This window comes from Homo sapiens, chromosome 9 (genome assembly GCF_000001405.40).
Source record: "Homo sapiens chromosome 9, GRCh38.p14 Primary Assembly".
NCBI classification, from domain to species: domain Eukaryota; kingdom Metazoa; phylum Chordata; class Mammalia; order Primates; family Hominidae; genus Homo; species Homo sapiens.
In genome coordinates, this window is record NC_000009.12 from 135623353 (window position 1) to 135642774 (window position 19422).

Below are 19422 nucleotides of genomic sequence, written 5' to 3' on the forward strand. Positions count from 1 at the left end.
ACCATGTCAGCAAGGCTGGCTGGTCTCGAACTCCTGACCTCAGGTGATCCGCCTGCCTCGGCCTCCCAAAGTGCTGGGATTACAGGCATGAGCTACCACAACCGGCCAATATCTATAGCTTTTTAACAAAAGGAACTGAATATCTCACTTTGAAACCGTAATAGTAAGACGTGGCTTTGGCTGGATTCCTCTAGCTCACCTGTGTCGAATCACACACCGAACAGACTGAGACAATAGGCGAGGTCGACCACAAGCCACACATATCCCAGTGTGGAAAAACACAGTGACTACTCAGTGAGTGGCCTGGCATTTATTTTTTCCTTTGCGTGAACTACTTTTCCATTTTATGAATGTTTTTTCTCAACTAGAGTCTTTCTCCATTAAAAATATTCATTCTATGTCAAATGTATTTTCACATTGTCTACAATACATAGATAATAACATTACTGTGTATTAACATTAAGTAATTATCCTTTTATTCTTTATCCTACATTAGCCAAATAAGATGGCTCAAAATGGCAAGAAGAAACATTTATTTGGGAAGGATGTAAATTTGTATGTCTCTAAAAAATGGAAGGTCTTAAGACTTCCCTCATTTATAAGAAATTGCCGTGATTCATTTATTCGTCATAAACCTCATGGCGTAATTCATAATTTCCTCTGGGAATCATGTGCGACCTTGACGTATTGGATCTGTGGAGGAGGAGAAAATGCAAGATCCCAGCTGTATGCTGGTGATAACAGCTAGGTGGGTTTATTGAGGTAAAAATATTTGTTAAGGTGCTTTTCATAAGTGCTATTGAGTCCATTTTTGATGTCATGAATAACTCCGTTCAGATATTCTTTGATGAAGTCTAAAATATTATGGGGTGTGCCACCAACCATCAAGTTGCCATAATAGAAATCTCCCTGTCCAAACGGGATGCAAGCTGCTGAGGTCGGCCTCCTCTCATAAGGGAAGTTCTTGGTGTTTCTGAAATACCACCAGGCGTGGAGCTGGGCCACCAACGGGCCCAGGGTCTCCACCCCGAACTCATTCTGGAAGACCTGGTTGGCAGCCATGCTGAAGAGGAAGTCCACCTCGTCCTGGATGTGACTGGCGATGTGTTCACCCAGGCTCTTCACATGCACCAGGGGGCCATCGAGCCACCACCTCTCGGTGCCCACTTTAAATGCTTTGAACGTTCGAAGAGGACTGGGCTCTATGTCAGGCAGCTTGAAGAAGGCGTCCACCATGATGTAGAAGATCACTCGGTAGCCTGTCATGAAGTGCTTATTTGCGGAGTGTAGGAACGGCCTCAGGTACTCCTCTGCAAACCTAGGAAACACACAGTGGGGAAGAAACTTACTTTTCTCTTTTTTCTTTTCTTTCTTTTTTTTTTTTTTTTTTTTTTTGAGATGGAGTCTCCCTCTGATGCCCAGGCTGGAGTGCAGTGGCGTGATCTCGGCTCACTGCAACCTCCACCTCCTGGGTCCAAGCAATTCTCCTGCCTCAGCCTCCCAAGTAGCTGGGACTACAGGCACCTGCCACCACGCCCAGGTAATTTTTTTTTTTTTTTTTTTGTATTTTCAGTAGAGATGGTATTTCACCATGTTGGCCAGGCTGGTCTCGAACTCCTGACCTCAGGTGATCCCACCCACCTCGGCGTCCTAAAGTGCTGGGATTACAGGCATAAGCCACTGTGCCCGGCCGACACTTACTTTTCTAAACATGATCAGGAGAAGAGGCGGCTGAATGCACTCACATGGGTGTGTCTGATGCTAAGGAACTCGGGATGTACAAGCGTGGAGGAGTCGGGCCCACAGCTTCAGCTGAGTTGGTGAGTGGGAAGGAATGTCCTGACCTGGAGGGCCTGAGAAAAGCCACCATGTTTTGGAATGGCTGTTGTGAAGAAAGGGAGCAGGAGCTAAATGGGTATGAGTCAAAAGGTTCCCACTGGTGTTAAGGACTCGGCCATCGACAGAGAAACCCAGCACACCTTTTGTACAGGACAGCCAGAAATTGAAGGAAATCGTGTCTATAGTAGACCATCTCCAAGACAAAGGGCCTTAAATCGGCTCAGGTCAGCAAACTACAAAAGAAACAGGATATACTAGGTCCCCACTTAAATAGCCAATGCCTGCTTGTCGGCCTCCTGCCTTAGTTGCCCTCACCCAAACCAAAAAAGTTTAGTCTAAGATAAAACTTTACTAGTCTGCAAAATAGCTCACTTTGTCTGTTCTTATCAGCCTGCTCAGCTACTTAGGTCATAAGTCAGATACTTGAAGAGCCCCTGAGCTCACTAGGATTGCAATGCATTGTGGGCTGCAACAAAATGCAGCAAGACCACCCTAAAGAAAACACCTAAAGCCCCTGCCCAACAACAAATAGGCGACGTCTGGGAAGATTGTGACCCCAAGTACTCAGCCTATGAGGAACTGAGGGAGGGACCTGTGCACTAGGGGATAAATTGCAGTTGAAACTGTGCTGGGTGTGCCTGCCCATCAGACATCCGATCTTGCAAGACTGTCACTAAAAGTCTCACTTTCACTGTTCTCCAGGTCTTTGAGTCCCTTATTTGGGTTTGGACAGGTAAGTTTGTTTCTCCCCAGAAATCGTGGCTATTGTTATCACTAATTATGCTTAATTATGGTTGGCTCTTTGGAGGTTAAAGGCTCGTGAATGCTGATCCACATTTTCCCAAAATAAAAAAGGGCAAAGGTGAGTGGCACCTACCTGCCAGTAGCAAAGACGGCCAGGCCCACAGTGATATTCCGCCTTCTGTAATGTTTTTCCAGGACCCGCCTGTCGAAAGTCCCTTCCCATAGGACAGGAGCGAGCCAGTCTGTTTTCGTTATAACATCAGGGCGTTTTCTGTGGAACAAGAACCAAGTTAAACAGGGAGTGCTTTACTGAGGCGCCGGCAGCAGGTGCCGAGCAGTAATGCCTAATGCTTAGAGAGCACCTAGTGCGCGCCCAGCTCCGTGTTTGAGTGCATCATCCCACTGGATTCATCCTTGCAACGCCCTATGCAATGAGTGCCACCACCCCTGATCTCCACGTGGGGAAGCAGAGGCACACACGGTTGAGTAAGTTGCCTGACACTGCAGTTAACACGTGGGGATGCCACATCCAGCCTACCTGGCTCCTGGGTTTGTGCGTTCCTCCCCCAGCCACTGCCTTTGAGCCCAGGAGCTGCCTTTTCCAAGCTCTGACTACAGCTCAAAATTAGGCAGCCGGGAGTCAGAACACTCTCCAATCATTCGCTGAAGCCAGGATGGGAGGCAGGAGATCACCTCCCTTACACAATGCCTTTATTTTTCCCTCCTTCTCTGCTTTCTTTTTCTCTCTCCCCTTTTCCTACAAGTTTCTGGGGATGCCCTTTTTTTCAGCTTCTCCCTCATGCTTTAGGCCCACCAGTGCAATCCAGCAGAAATGAGAGATGAGTCCAAAACCGGAGCGAGCCATCCGATTTGCCTTCAATACAACAAAACAACAGCAGGATTTAAGATAGGCTATTCAACATCTGAAAATCAATGAATGTAAACCACCATATTGAAAGCTAGAGAAGATCAATCACATGCTCAACTCGGAAAAAGCACCCTACAAAGTTCAATGTCCATTCATGATAAAAGCTCCCAGAAAAAAAGTAATAGAGGGGAATCCCCTCAACTTGACAAAGAACATCTACAAATATCCTACAGTGCACACACTTCATAGTGAAAGACTGAATGCTTTCTCCCTACAATGAGGAACGTGGCAGTACCAACATAGTGATGGCAGTTCTAGCCACTGCAATAAGGCAAGAAAATGAAATAAAAGCCAGCAGATTGGGAAGGAAAAAAACAACACCGTCCCTATTTGCAGATTACATAATTGTCTACATAGAAAATCCTAAGGAATCTTAAAAAAAAACCAATATCTCCTAGAACTAACAAGTGAACTCAGCAAAGTTTCAGGATACAAGATCAGCACATTAAAAATTAATCTCATTACTATGAACAATGAACATGCAGAAAGTAATATTTAAAACACATGCTATTTACAGTTTCTCCAAAGAAAATGAAATACTTTGATATATCACTACCCAAAAGCAGTCACTCCCCATTCCCTTCTCCCTGCAATCCCTGCAACAACTCATCTACTTTCTGTCTCTGTAGATTTGCCTGTTCTGGAAATATGGCTGAATAATATTCCATTGGATGGCTAGACCACATTTTGTTTATATGTTCATTAGTTGATGAACATTTGAGTTATTTACACTTTCTGGCTATTACAAATACTACTATTAAAATTCATATGTGAGTTTTTGTGTGAAGATAGGTTTTTAATTCTCTTGGATATATATCTAGAGGTAGAATTGTTGGGTCATATGGTAATTCTATGGTTAACTTTTTGAGGAACTGACAAACTGTCTTCCATAAAGGCTGCACCATTTTACATTCCCACCAAAAGTATATGAAATTTCAAATTTCTCCACATCCTCACCAACACTTTTTTGTTATCTTTTTTATTCCAGCCATCCTACTTTATACATCTTTATACATCATAGAGAGTGAAGTGCTATCTCATTGTGACCTTAATTTGCATTTCCCTGAAGACTAATAAAGTTGGGCATCTTTTCATGTGCTTATTGGCCATTAGTATATCTTCTTTGGAGAAATGGCTATTCAGATCCTTTGCCCATTTTAAATTACTATTTGTCATTTTGTTGTTTAATGATAAGAATTATTTATATATTCTGGATATTAGGCCCTTATCAGATATATGAATTGCAAATGTTTTTCCCATTCTGTGGGTTGTCTTTTCATTTTCTTGATAATGTCCTTTGATTCATGAAAGTTTTTAGTTTTGATGAAGTCCACTTTACCTATTTTTTATTGTTGTTGTACTTTTGACTCATCAGGTTGAGGAAGTTCCCTTCCATTTCTAGTTTGTTGGGTATTTATATTTTTTTAAGTGTCGAATTTTGTCAAACGCTTTTTCTGCATCTATTGAGATGATCCTGAGGTTTTTATATTCTGTATTCTATTAATACAGTGTATTACATTAATTGATTTTCATACATTGAACCAACCTTGCATTCCTGGAATAAATCCCACTATGTAGTTTATGGTGTATAATCCTTTTTTATATGTTGCTGGATTCAGTTTTCTATAATAGTATTTTGCTGAAAAGTTCTGCATTTATATTCATATGGGATATTGGTCTGTAGTTTTCTTGTGATACCTTTGTCTGGTTTTGATATCAGGGTAATACTGGTCTAGAATGAGTTGAAAAACACTCCTCTTTTAATACTTTGAAGAGTTTGTGAAAGATTGATATTAATTCTTCTTTAGCATTTGACATAGTTTACCAATGACATTTTGTATTTCTAGGCTTTTCTTTGTAGAAAGTTTTTTATTACTAATTCAATGTATTTACTTATTATAGCTCTATTCAAATTTTCCCTTTCTTCTTTAGTCTTTCTAGGAATTTCTTCATTTCATATAGGTTATTTAATTTGTTGGCATACAATTAATCACAGTATTCACTTATAATCCTTATTATTTCTGGAAGTTGGTGGTCATGTCCCCTCTTTCACTCCTGATTCTAGTAATTTCAGTTCTCCCTTTTTAGCTAGGACAATCAAGTTACACTTTTGGCAAATTTGTTTATCTTTTCAAAAAACCAATTTTGGTTTTGTTCATTTTCTCTATTATTCTTCTATTTTCTATTTAATTGATTTGCTCTTCTTTTTTTCCTGTGCTTGCTTTAGTTTTATTTTGTTCTTCTTTTCTGATTTTCTTAATGTATAAATTTTCCTTAGTGTATAAAGTTTAAGACCAGCCTGGTCAACACAGCAAGACCTCATCTCTACAAAAAAATTCAAAAATTAGGACGTTATTGACTTGAGATCTTTCATTTTAATGTAGGCATTTATAGCTATAAATTTCTCAGTAAGCACTGTTTTTGCTGCATCCCATAAGTTTGGCATGTAGTGTTTTTATTTTCAATCACCTTAAAATTTTTTAATTTCCCTTGTGATTCTTTTTTGATTATTTAGGAGTGAACTGTTAAATTTCCACACATCTACAAATTACCCAAATTACTTTCTGTTATTGATTTTTAATTTTAGAATTTAGAAAAAAATGATCAAATAACATACTTTGTATGATTTCAATCATTTGAATTTACTGAGATTTTATTGTGCAACATATGGCTTATCCTGGAGAATGTCTCATGTGCACTTGAGAGTATTCTTCTCTTGTTAGGTGGTTCTATAGATGTTTGTGAGGCCTCGTTTGTAGTATTTTTAAGCCTTCTATTTGCTTGTTGATTAGTTGTTCTGTCTCTTATTGAAAGTGAAGTACTGAAGTCTCCAGCTATTCTTGTTGAATTGTCAATTTCTCCCTTCAATTCTGTCAGTTTTTGCTTCATATGTTTTAGGACTGTTATTAGATGCAAATGTTTATATATTTGATGTATCTTATTGATGGATTGATCCTTTTGTCATTATAAAATGCCCCATTTTTTTTCTCTAGTAACAATTTTTGTCTTTGTCTATTTTGTCTGATATTTGTATAGAGCCACTTTGGGTCTCTTTTGGTTGCTGTTTGTATGGTATACACTTTTCAATTCTTTTAGTTAAACCAATTTGCATCTTTGAATCTAAAATGTCTCTTGTAGACGGCATATAAATATGTTTTTATACATTCTAACAATCTCTGCCTTTTTTAATTGGAGAGTTTTACCCATTTACAAAATGTAATAAAACTCGACATTTTATTTTCTATATGTCATGTAATTTTGGCCAGGCGTGGTGGCTCACACCTGTAATCCCAGCACTTTGGGAGGCTAAGGAGGGTGGATCACGAGGTCAGGAGATCGAGACCATCCTGGCTAATACGGTGAAACCCTGTCTCTACTAAAAATACAAAAAAATTAGCCAGGCGTGGTGGCAGGCGCCTGTAGTCCCAGCTACTTGGGAGGCTGAGGCAGGAGAATCGTGTGAACCCAGCAGGCAGAGCTTGCAGTGAGCCGAGATCACGCCATGCACCCCAGCCTGGGCAACAGAGTGAGACTCTGTCTCAGAAAAAAAAAAAAAAAGAAGACTACACAAAAGATGAAATATGAATGAATAGTAAACATATAAAAAGATACTCGGGAGGCCGAGGCAGGTGGATCACCTGTGGTCAGGAGTTCAAGACCAGCCTGGCCAACATGATGAAACCCTGTCTCTACTAAAAATACAAAAATTAGCCAGGTGTGCTGGCAGGCACCTGTAATCCCAGCTACACGGGAGGCTGAGGCAGGAGAATCACTTGACCCAGGAGGCAGAGGTTGCAGTGAACTAAGATCACACCATTGCACTCCAGCCTGGGCAACAAGAGCAAAACTCTGTCTCTACAAAAAAAAAAAAAAGATACTTAAACAATTACAGACATGCAAATTGAATTGAGATGCCTTAACTAGCAGCTTTGCCAAACATGAAAAAGCTGGTAATACTTTAGTTTATGCACTGTAGACAAGAAGATAAAATGGTACCATTATTAAAAGTAAATTTAGCAATTTAAAATTTACATCAAAAATTTTAAATGTCTGCATTCTTTGGCCTAATAACTTCATTTTAGAAATGTGTCTCACACCGGAAGTCATATATCTGTGTAAAAAAAAAAAAGACGGGTTACATTTAGTCACCAGAACTTTGCCTGCAATAGCCCCCAAACTGTAAATAACCCCAAAGCTACATAGGAACACAACACAAAGTTGAAACCACATACACTTTACAAAGGATGAGGCTGCCCCTGAGTGCTGCCACCAAAGTCAAGCAGCGTCATCAGTGGCATATTCAAGCTGGTTCCGAAGAGACTTTCTCGCACTGCATAAACCAGGAAAGCTAAGCCAGGTAGAGAGCGTCTGCTTCTTCATGACCACAATCATCGCCTGGTTCTTGATCAACAGACCCTGGTTTGTTTATAAGAGCCTCGAAAATAAAACTCCAATTCTGGAAACGTCCCAGGAGAGCTGAATTTGGTGACTGGGGAAGAAAAACCTGTTACTTCCAATTGAAGTATATTGTTTGTGTGTGCATGTAAACAGGCATTTTTGTTCTTACCTAGGATGAAACCAGTCTGAGAGCCGAAGTTCTTCTACTTGGTGATTCCTGGATACAAAGAGAAAATCAAGTGATTGCAAGGAGCCTGTTCAATGTTTATTGAGCCTGTGATAGGCAGGCCCCGTTTGGTGTTTCGTCAACATGCATCAACCCAAATCAGAGTCAGGGGAAGCCTCCCAGAGAAGAGATATCTCAGCTGGGTGGGGAAGGGTATGAGCTAGTCTAGGAAAGAGATGTAGGGAAAGGAGGTCATGGCCAAAAGCAGAATATCAGGAAAGAGTATGAGTGTTGGGAGGAAGATTTTTTTAATAAAAGGAGATGAACAGATCAGCTAAGAGAATGTATATTCAGACAAAAACATAGATTCAATTAATTTATTTACCAAACATTAGTGGTTCTGCTCTATGTTGTAAAGAGGTGGGGAGGAGGCATCCAGAAGTTCATCTTTGATTCTGTTTGCATTTATTTTATTTATTTATTTTAAGAGATGCGTTCTCACTTGCATGATCATAGCTCACTGCAGCCTCAAACCCCTGAGCTCAAGCCATCCTCCCACCTCAACCTCCAAAGTATCTGGGACCACAGGCACAAGCTACCTCCCTTTGCATTTCAACACTGCGTTCTTCTAGAGTGTAATTGTGCTTTTAAGCTAATTATTAAATTAGCAAGCTTATTAGGCAACCTCTGTTTCATAACCCTGGGAGCAATTTTTTTTTTTTTGAGACAGGCTCTCACTCTGCTGCCCAGGCTGGAGTGCAGTGGCATCATCACAATTCACTGCAGTCTCAACCTCCTGAGCTCAAGCAATCCTCCCACCTCAGCCTCCCAGGTAGCTGGGACCACAGGGGTGTGCCATCACACCCGGCTAACTTTTAAATTATTTGTAGAGACAGGGTCTCCCTGCGTTGCCTAGGATAGTAACCCTGGGATATTTTTAAGTGAAAGAAATGACTTCAAGACTGTCCGTCCCCCTTTCTGGCATTATCATGAGTATCCTTAGCCACAGACATTCCATGATTGGATTCCCCAGGCGTAGATTCATCAAAATCCAAACTGTCCATGCCAGACTTCATCAAAAACATGAAACGAAAAGGGGGAACTTAATAAAAAGTCCCCATTCTTTGACCGTGCTGGTCTTATTAATTTCTGGGGCCCTGCAGAATGACCAGAGCAGAGAACATCCTTGGCTGAAGAGGGTTATTGTAACCTAAAGAAAAAAATCACCCTCGACAGAGATTTTTTTTTTTTTTTTTTCGAGACAGAGTCTTGCTCTGTAGCCCAGTCTGGAGTGCAGTGGCGCAATCTCAGCTCACCGCAACCTCCACCTCTTGGGTTCAAGTGATTCTCCTGCCTCAGCACCCCCAGTAGCTGGGATTACAGGCACACGCCACCACACCCAGCTATTTTTTGTGTTTTTAGTAGAGATGTGGTTTCACAATGTTGGCCAGGATGGTCTCCAACTCCTGATCTCAAATGATCCACCTGCCTCAGCCTCCCAGAGTGCTGGGATTACAGGTGTGAGCCACCACGCACGGCCTGTCCTGTCCTTTCTGTAATCAACCCCCAAATCCTCAAGCTCACCACACACACGTGCACGCACACACGCAAGCACACATACACGTGCATTACATACAAATCAGCCTACACATACGCAGACAGTGGTGTCTTCAGGGATTAGAGCTGTCTTTGGTTTGCCGTTTCCCCTGCCTCTCTTGCCATTAGTACCCAGTTGACCCCCTCCAGCCTTGCTTTGCAGTTTGTGGAATATTTAGACAACAAATATTCTCGCCGGCTGAGATGACTTTTCTACTTTTATTTTTATTTTTATCTTTATTTTGAGAGGCAGTCTTGCTCTGTCTCCCAGGCTGGAGTGCAGTGGTATGATCTCAACTCACTGCAACCTCCACCTCCCGGGTTTAAGCAATTCTCCTGCTTCAGCCTCCTGAGTAGCCCAGATTACAGGTGCCCACTGCCACGCCTGGCTAATGTTTTTTTAATATTTTTTATTTTTGTATTTTAGTAGACACGGGGCCAGGCTGGTCTCAAACTCCTGACTTCAGGTGATCTGCCCACCTCGGCCTCCCAAAGTGCTGGGACTACAGGTATGAGCTACCACACCTGGCCTGAGATTCCTTTTCTATAGAGGAGTTTGCTAGACAAAACACAGGACATCTCTTCAGTTTAAGATAAGCAATGAATAAATTTTTAGTGTAACTATTGCATAGGACATACTTCTGCTAAAAAAGATTCACTGTTTCCCTGAAATTCAAATGTTACTGAGCATCCTGTATGTTTATTTCCTAAATGGATCAACCCAACCAGTGAATAACTCCTTATTCTTTAAATAAATGAAAAAAAAATCATTCAAGTTTTAAATTTGAACAAAGACCCATTGCAATTTCAACAACAAAATATCTAGAATCAAGATCCATTTATTTATGCATTTCTTACCAAATAATGAGTGAGCACCTCCTACATGCCAGGCCCCTGGCTGTGGTTCCGGGGTAGATGGTAGAATCCGTGCCATGGATTAGCGTATGGGTCCCTGTCCCCTTTCTGCTGAAGATTACTCCATCATTATCCTCAAACAGAGCATCTGAAACTCTTTATAACTGGCCATGCATCCTTTTCATTAAGGTACAATCCTCCAGGAGGACAAATGACACAAAATACATGGCACCAAAGCAGTGGGGGTGGTCATTTTGTTTTGCTTTTTGAGACAGAGTCTCACTCTGTCTCCCAGGCTGGAGTGCAGTGGTGCGATTTCAGCTCACTGCAACCTCCGCCTCCCAGATTCAAGCTATTCTCCTGCCTCAGACTCCCAAGTAGCTGAGATTACAGGTGCCCACCACCATACCCTGCTAATTCTGGTGTTTTTAGAAGAGACAGGATTTTGCCATGTCAGCCAGCTGGTCTCCAACTCCTGACCTCAAGTGATCCGCCCGCCTCTGCCTCCCAAAGTGCTGGAATTACAGGCGTAAGCCACCATGCCTGGCCTTGTTTTTCCTTTCCTTTTTTTTTTTTTTTTTTTTTTGGCATGATTTATTTTTACTTTATTTCCCCTTTTTTGTTTCAATCAACTTTATTTTTAGAGAAGATTCAGCTTTACAAAAACGTTCTAAAGCTAGTATGCGGAATCCCCTGCACCAACCCAGTTTTTCCTATTATTAACATCTAGCTTTAGTAGGGTACTTTTGTTCCAATTCATGAAGCAACACTGATGCTGTATTGTTAACGAGAGTCCATACTTTGGTTGGATTTTCTTGTTTTCCCCTAATGTCTCTTTTTTTTTCAGGATCCCACCCAGCATGCCACACTCCACTCAGCCTCCTGTCTGGATCCCACCCAGCACGCCACACTCCACTCAGCCTCCTGTCTGCACAGGATCCTCTTGACTGCAGCCGCCTCTCAGACCCCATCATGACTTCCTATTGATGCTGACCTTGTTCACCTGGCTAGGGTTCTGTTTTCGGGCTTCTCCACGCAAAGACTGCTCTTTCTCCCCGTTTTCTTTATAAGAAAGCGCTGCGCGCAACCCAAACTTCAGGACTGGGGCGTCAGGTTCTGTGTCGTTGGTAGTGGAGAATCTACAGACATGATTTGGAATTCTTCTGCATATGGGAGATTTGTCTCTTCTCCCTTCTTCCTTCCTTCTATCCTTCCAACATCCAGCCAACCTGTCTTCCTTCCTTTCTTCCTTCTTTTTGCTCCTCCAATCATTCATTTACATCAGTATGAACTTGTGGAAGTTCGTTTCATACTTTGGGTTATAATTCAATGTTACTTTCTTTTCTTGCTCAAAAGGCTTCAGCTTTGGCCATCGGGAGCTCTCCCAGTTAGCTCCCATGTCCCATTTAAGTGACATACTCCCTTCAATATAGAATTTGTAAAAAAAATCCCTTCCATCCCTCCTGGCACTATGAGATGCTCTGGGCTCATCTTGTAAATCTCCTGTCCGAATCTAGAACCATCCACTTCTCCAAGAAGCCTTGGTCGCTTTCCTGGAGAATGGTGCCAGAAACCAAGATCTGTTGCTTTCCTGGAGAATGGTGCTAGAAACTAAGGTCTGCTGCTTTCCTGGAGAATGGTGCTAGAAACAAGATCTGTTGCTTTCCTGGAGAATGGTGCTAGAAACCAAGATCTGTTGCTTTCCTGGAGAATGGTGCTAGAAACCACGATCTGCTGCTTTCCTGGAGAATGGTGCTAGAAGCCAAGATCTGGGTACCAGGTGTGCTCATTGCTTCCAGGGTGTCCTTCCTCCGAGGCCCTCTCAGCTAACAGAGCAAGGAAATAGACACTAACCTGTGCGTATTTCCACATATCTTTAAACACGTTGACACGTAAATGTCTCTGTTCATAGTAAGGTAAACGTGAGTTCACGCTGAGGTCTCCAGCTTCAATCCATTCCCACGTGGATCACTGTGGCCCCCTCTCTTGCTTAACTATGAAGTTCCCTCCAACAGCAAGAAACTTGCTCCCCCATGCCTCATCCATTTATTTAATTGATTCAAATATACATGTATAGCAGCAGCAGAATTGTTAACTCATATTCCTGTGGGAAAAAACCTTTATTGACCCAAATACATGTACAGTGCTCATGTACAGTTTCTATTGCCTTTACTTTCAAACTCCACTCATACCCAGCTGGGCACTGTGGCTCACACCTGTAATCCCAGAATTTTGGGAGGCTGTGGCAGGCGGATCACCTGAGGTCAGGAGTTTGAGACCAGCCTGGCCAACATGGTGAAACCCCATATCTACTAAAAATAAAAAATTAGCCATGCCTGGTGGCATGTGCCTGTAGTCCCAGCTACTAGGGAGGCTGAGGCAGGAGAATCGCTTGAACCAAGGAGGCAGAAGTTGTGGTGAGTTGAGATCGCTCTACTGCACTCCAGTCAGGGTGACAGAGTGAGACTCTGTCTCAAAACAAAACAAAACAAAAAAAACTCCACTCATTCCTAAGTTATTTTAGGTCAGCAGCTTTTTCCCTGACCCCTTCCAGTGGGATTGTTCTGTACATTTGGGATATAGATTATGTTCTCACAGTCTGCATTGCTTCCTAGGATACCTCGAACCTCCTAGCTAATTTTTTAAATTTACATATGTTAATTTCACTCTTCGTGCTGTAACGTCCTGTGGGTTTTTTTTCAAATGCAAAGTTACATGTGTCCATGGTTACACTGTCATACAGAACAGTTTCACTGCCCCCCAAAATTCCTTTGTGCTTCACCTATTCATCCCCTCCCTCACCTCCACCCCATGGCAACCACTGATCTTTTTCCTGCCAATATAGTTTTGCCTTTTCCAGAATGTCACATGAGAATTATACAGCACGCAGCCTTTTCAGATGGGCTTTTTGCACTCAGCAATATGCATTTAGGGTTCCTCCATGTCTTCTAACAGCTTGATAGCTGATTTCTTTTTTTTCTTTTTTTTGGGGGGATGGAGTTTCACTCTTGTTGCCCAAGCTGGAGTGCGATGGCGTGATCTCAGCTCACCGCAACCTCTGCCTCCCAGGTTCAAGTGATTCATCTGCCTCAGCCTCCTGAGTAGCTGGGATTACAGGCATGCACCACCATGCCCAGGTAATTTTGTATTTATAGTAGAGATGGGGTTTCTCCATGTTGGTCAGGCTGGTCTCGAACTCCCGGCCTCAGGTGATCCACCTTCCTCAGCTTCCCAAAGTGCTGGGATTACAGGCATGAGCCACCGTGCCCGGCCAGCTCATTTCTTTTTACTGTTGGGTGTTATTCCGTTGCACAGATGAGCCACAGCATGTTTATCCTTCTCCTATTGAAAGTCGTCTTGTTCGTTTCTGGTTTTGAGCACTTCATGAACCACAGCTTGTTTATCATCCACCTGCTGAAGGGCATCTAGTATGTTAGTGGTTTGAGGCATTTATGAATAGAGTTTCTATAAACATCTTGTGCAGGGTTTGTGTGGACATAAGTGTTTTAATCAGTTGGCTACATGCCTAGGAGCACAGTTGCTCTGTGGCATGATAAGGCTCTATCTAGCTTTCTAAGGAACTGCTACACTGTCTTCCACAGTACCTGTAACATTTTGCATTCCCACCAGCAATGAATGAGAGTTCCTGTCCTTCCACTTCCTCACCAGAAGCTGGTTTTCAGATTTTAGATTTTTGGGTGTTAGCCGTTCTAATGGGTGTGTAGTGGTATCTCCTTGTTTTCGTTGCAATTTCCTGATGACAAATGAGACTGAGCATCTTGGCGTTCGCTTATTTCCCATCTGTATATCTTCTCTTGTGAGATTCTATTCAGTTCTTTTGCTCATTTTTAAATGTTTTAAATGTCAATATTTAATTTTTAAATTTAGGTGTTTGTTTCCTTATTGTTGAATTTTAAGAGCTCTTTGCATATTTTGGGTACAAGTCCCTTACCAGATACATGTTGTGCAAAGCTTTCATTTTTAAAAACTATTATCTGTCATGATACTACTGCTGTTCAAATAGCCTCTGGAAACACTGCATTGCTTATGAAGAAGACCATGAGGAGTGGTATGGAGAAAGCTAGAATTTGAGTTTTTCTAGACGGGAAAATATTAGCAGGTGTATTAGTCTGTTTTCACGCTGCTGATAAAGACATACCCAAGACTGGGAAGAAAAAGAGGTTTAATTGGACTTACAGTTCCACATGGCTGGGGAGGCCTCAGAATCATGGCAGGAGGCAAAAGGCATGTCTTCCATGGCAGCGGCAAGAGAAAATGAGAAAGACGGAAAAGTGGAAACCCCTGATAAACCCATCAGATCTCATGAGACGTATTCACTATCATGAGAATAGCATGGGAAAGACCAGCCCCCATGATTCAATTACCTCCCCCGGGTCCCTCCCACAACACGTGGGAATTCTGGGAGATACAATTCAAGTTGAGATTTGGGTGGGGAAAGAGCCAAACCATACCAGCAGGTTTACAGATGCGTCCTCTAGTACACATGCTTCTATATGCATAGAATTAGGTTGACTTTAGTCTTGTTTACATTAAACACAAAGATGGAACCTTTAGTATTATTTATATTAAACACAAAGATGGAAACTTGAGATAGTTTATAATTCATCTAAAATGGCATTGTCACCTTTATTTTTTATTATGCTTGTTTTATAAAATATTATATCCCTGGCATTGTCTTTTATGTGTATTTATTGTCTACCTTCTCCAAATAGAATGAAAGCTCCCTGAGGACAGGCACTTTCATTATCACTGCATCCCCAGCACCTAGAATACAGCCTGGCACCTAGAAGGCACTCTGTAAATAATTGTTGAATGTTTAACAATGAAATAATTAAAATATGTATATTTTCCTTTGTCCCACAAAGAGAAAGTAACTTCTGATTTATTTAGAGAGTAGTATTGATATCTTTGGACAAAACTCAGCAGTTTAGATTATCTCTGCCAGCCTGGACAACATAAGTCTCTACAAAAAAAATTCAAAAATCAGTTGTTTGTGGTGACATGTGCCTGTAGTCCCAGCTACTCAGGAGGCTGAGGTGGGAGGATCACTTGAGCCTGGGAGGTCAAGGCTGCAGTGAGCTAATATGGCACCACTGCACTCCAGCCTGGGCAACAGAGTAAGACCCTGTCTCAAAAATTAAATTAATTAATTTAATTAAATTAAAACCACCTCTGCCAATCACTAAAGATCATGATTTATCAATACTTTATATTTACCTGAAATAACGCTCAACCAACATCAGTGAAAAAGCAAATAAAACCAATAACAGCATTCTTTTAGAATTCATTCTCTCCTAGGGAAAGAAGGAGAAAAAATTAGATTTTAAGCAATAAAAAATGACATATTTGTCATCATCTAACAATGGGTTAATGTATGGGCATTGGACACCAACCTTAGAGGTTGCTTCTAGAATGTTCAGCTGGCAGGAGACAGCGACTTGAGTTAGGGAAGCCTCTGTTCTCCTTCAAGTGCCCGGGGCTGACTGTTCCCCGTGGGTCAGCTGCACGTGCACTGTCTCTCCCCGTGTTCACATCAAAGTCTGCGTTGATTGCATGAAAGAAACGCAATAAATCTCTCCACTGCAGGGCTGTGCAAATAGAATGAGGTCTTGATGAGGAAGTCTTCTTGATCTAGGAGAATGTATTCTGCCCCCGAAGTCGACTTTTTATTCTTTCTTCCTCACTAAGATAGTAAGATGAATAATTTGTTCCAAGACTATGCCAGTCTAAAAATTTACAAGTGCTCTCAAAGGTAGATCTTGTAAACGGAGAATGAAGTCTACATTAAAGGCATTAGACTTTACAATGGAAGTCTGGACTCTCACCAGTGCCTGAGCTTGTGTTGGAGGCTTCACGTGGGATTTGGTTTACAAGCCCATAGGGAACACGCCACTGCGCTGTGTGTCCACACAAAATGCAGGTCTCTGATTCTCTGATTTTCACTTTTTTTTTTTTTTTTTTTGAGATGGAGTCTCATTCTGTCTGCCAGGCTGGAGTGCAGTGGCACAATCTTGGCTCACTGCAACCTCCGCCTCCTGGGTTCAAACAGTTCTCCTGCCTCAGCCACCACATCCAGCTAATTTTTGTATTTTTAGTGGAGACGGGGTTTCATCATGTTGGCCAGGCTGGTCTCAAACTGCTGACCTCAGGTGATCCGCCCACCTCAGCCTTCCAGTGATTTTCAATTTTGAACACTCATTTAACAAACATGACACTTTAGCTCTGCACTGATAGCCATAGAGTAGCCACTTGCCACATGTGGTCCCGAGTGTGTGAAATGCAGCTGCTGTGAAATGAGGTGAGCTGCAAGTGTACAAAACACATGGGGTCTCAAAGTCAAACACAGTGCGAAAGAAAATAATTTACCATCTCACTCATAACTTCACATCGATCACAGGTGAAACGGTAACAGTCTGGGTGTCATAGTCTGGAAAGAATGAGTTAAATGAGAAATAAATTATGAAAATTAATTCACCTGTTTCTTCTTACTGTTTGTAATGTGGCTACTAGGAAACCGGACATTGATAATGTGGCTCACAGGCTGGGCGTGGTGGCTCACACCTGTAATCCCAGCACTTTGGGAGGTCGAAGGGGGAGGATCACGAGGTCAGGAGTTCAAGACCAGCAGGACCAACATGGTGAGACCCCCGTCTCTACTAAAAATACAAAAATTAGCCAGGTGTGGTGGCTCACGCCTGTAATCCCAGCTACTCAGGAGGCTGAGGCAGCAGAATCGCTTGAACCCAAGAGGCGGAGGTTGCAGTGAGCCAAGATCGCACCACTGCACTCCAGCCTGGGTGACAGAGCAAGACTCCATCTAAAAAAAAAAAGAAAAAAAGGAGAGAAAGAAAGAAAATGTGGCTCACATTATATTTCTATGGGGCAGTTCTTCATATAATCCCTTCCTGGGCAGGCTTCGGTTGGGCCCAGTTCTTGTACCTCTGCAATTGGAAACTGACCACCTTTTAAGTTCAAGATCACTAGAAATGCCATGTGGATGGGGTAAGACAGGCCCATCTAGCCAGGTTCTCTACAGCAGTGTGCCCTCCTCCATGACATCATCCCTGGGCATGCTACTAGCTGTATGTTGATGAGCTGCCTGTCTGTCAATATCTTTCTGAGGTCAAGGTTAGAGGATGACCCAAACCCTGATTTTACCACAATCATCCAAACTTTCCTAGATCCCTCTTTAAAAGTCCTTTACCTTGGGTTAGAGTGATGCAAAGAGATGGCCAAAGATGTTCCACAGGGACAGGGATCTTCTAAGCATATCTTTTGGTCTGTGTCGTGTCACAAACCAGCTGCCATCTACTGCTCTCCTAGCGCTGGAGTCTTCCGTTGGTGCTGACGTCACTGGGCACCTTTGATGATGCAAGCGTCACAGTGATGCCTCTGCCCACAGGTTCTTCCCATGGTTATGAGGACAAGACTTTGTCCCATTTGAAAAATTAAAGGGTAGGCCGGGTGCGGTGGCTCATGCCTGTAATCCCAGCATTTTGGGAGGCCAAGGTGGGCAGATCATCTGAGGTCAGGAGTTCAAAACCAGCCTGGCCAACATGGTGAAACCTTGTCTCTACTAAAAATACAAAAAATTAGCCGGGCATGGTGGTGGGTGCCTGTATCCCAGCTACTTGGGAGGCTGAGAACAGGAGAATCGCTTAAACCCAGGAGGCAGAGGTTGCAGTGAGCCAAGATCATGCCATTGCACTCCAGCCCGGGCAACAGAGCGAGAATCCATCTCAAAAAAAAAAGAAAGAAAGAAAGATTAAAGGATATTTCTAAATATCCTTTTGCTTTTCATTTCCATTGTTGTGTCTCCTTACTTCCTAATGACTGATTCTTACTTATGGAGAGATATTTTGAATGACCTATGTTTACGTTCATAAAACAGAGGAAAAATGCAGCATCCTTCTCCTCCTTCATCCTCTTTGAGGTTCTATCTGATCACTCCCAGAGAGTAAATCCCTTCTTATACTGTCTTAGAATGTCCTTGAAGTACTTATTTTCCTGATTACAGAAATAGCGCATTTTTGTGTTATGAGTCAGATGCCTCGCCACACAAAGGAAATGACAATCGTACACAATTCCACCATCTTCAGACAGCTGCCTTCACTCGTGATCATAATGGGAACATTTATTTATTTCACCCCTCTCATTTGAAAATAAAATAGTTTTTCTTATTGGAAAAGGAGGCCTGGCGCCGTAGCTCATGCCTGTAATCCCAGCACTTTGGGAGGCTGAGGCGGGCAGATCACAAGGTCAAGAGATGGAGACCATCCTGGCCAACATGGTAAAAACCCATCTCTACTAAATATACAAAAATTAGCCAGGCGTGGTGGTGCATGCCTGTAGTCCTAGCTACTCAAGGAGGCTGAGGCAGGAGAATTGCTTGAACCCGGGAAGTGGAGGTTGCAGTGAGCTGAGATCAAGCCACTACACTCCAGCCTGGCAACAGAGCAAGACCCTGTCTCAAAAAAAAAAAAAAAAGAAAAACTAGCATATGTACATGTTAGTTTTGCATAGCTGCCATAACAAATTAAACTGAGTAGCTTAAAACAACACAAATTTATTCTCTGACAATTCTGGAGGCTAGAAGTCCAAAATCGAGCTGTCTCCAGCATCTGATGCTGCGGCCGTTCTTGGCCCCCTTGGCTTGAGTACGCGTCCCTCCTCTCAGCCTCTGTCATCAAACGGCATTTTCTCTCTCTCTCTCTCTCTCTCTCTCTCTCTCTCTGTGTATGTGTGTGTGCATCTGTGTCTTTCCTCCTCTTCTTAGGACATCTTCATGTTGCATTAAGGGCCACCCTACTGCAGTGTGACCTCATCTTAATTTACACCTTAACTATAATCCTCAAAGACCCGATTTCCAAATAAG

At 42.4% G+C, this 19422-nt stretch overlaps 1 protein-coding gene across 6 annotated transcripts; it reads right to left on the reverse strand.

The window, feature by feature from the left end:
* Positions 1–295: 295 nt before the first annotated feature.
* Positions 296–17864, reverse strand: GLT6D1 (glycosyltransferase 6 domain containing 1). Of its 6 annotated transcripts, none has more exons than XM_011518637.3 (7): positions 17752–17864; positions 16914–16974; positions 15941–16230; positions 15765–15841; positions 8079–8126; positions 2717–2854; positions 296–1318 (listed from the first exon to the last, which is right to left on the reverse strand). In XM_011518637.3, exons 4-7 carry the CDS (start codon positions 15833–15835, stop codon positions 745–747), a joined length of 831 nt encoding a protein of 276 aa, XP_011516939.1. In that variant the 5' UTR covers positions 15836–15841; positions 15941–16230; positions 16914–16974; positions 17752–17864; the 3' UTR covers positions 296–744. The 6 variants fall into 6 exon arrangements, with proteins under 6 accessions (XP_011516939.1, XP_011516937.1, XP_047279305.1 ...); XM_011518635.3 differs by lacking the exon at positions 17752–17864 and adding an exon at positions 1746–1853 and having other exon boundaries at positions 15941–16135; positions 16914–16930; XM_047423349.1 differs by lacking the exon at positions 17752–17864 and adding an exon at positions 1746–1853 and having other exon boundaries at positions 16914–16930.
* Positions 17865–19422: the final 1558 nt, after the last annotated feature.

Excerpts from the sequence above, each read along its gene's own strand:
- GLT6D1 (XM_011518635.3), bottom strand. The coding sequence starts at position 15,835 with ATGAATTCTAAAAGAATGCTGTTATTGGTTTTATTTGCTTTTTCACTG. Across the intron at positions 8,127-15,764 it reads TTGGTTGAGCGTTATTTCAG|GAATCACCAAGTAGAAGAAC; the intron begins GTAAATATAAAG and ends CTTTGTATCCAG. Across the intron at positions 1,319-1,745 it reads TTAGCATCAGACACACCCAT|GTTTGCAGAGGAGTACCTGA; the intron begins GTGAGTGCATTC and ends TGTGTTTCCTAG.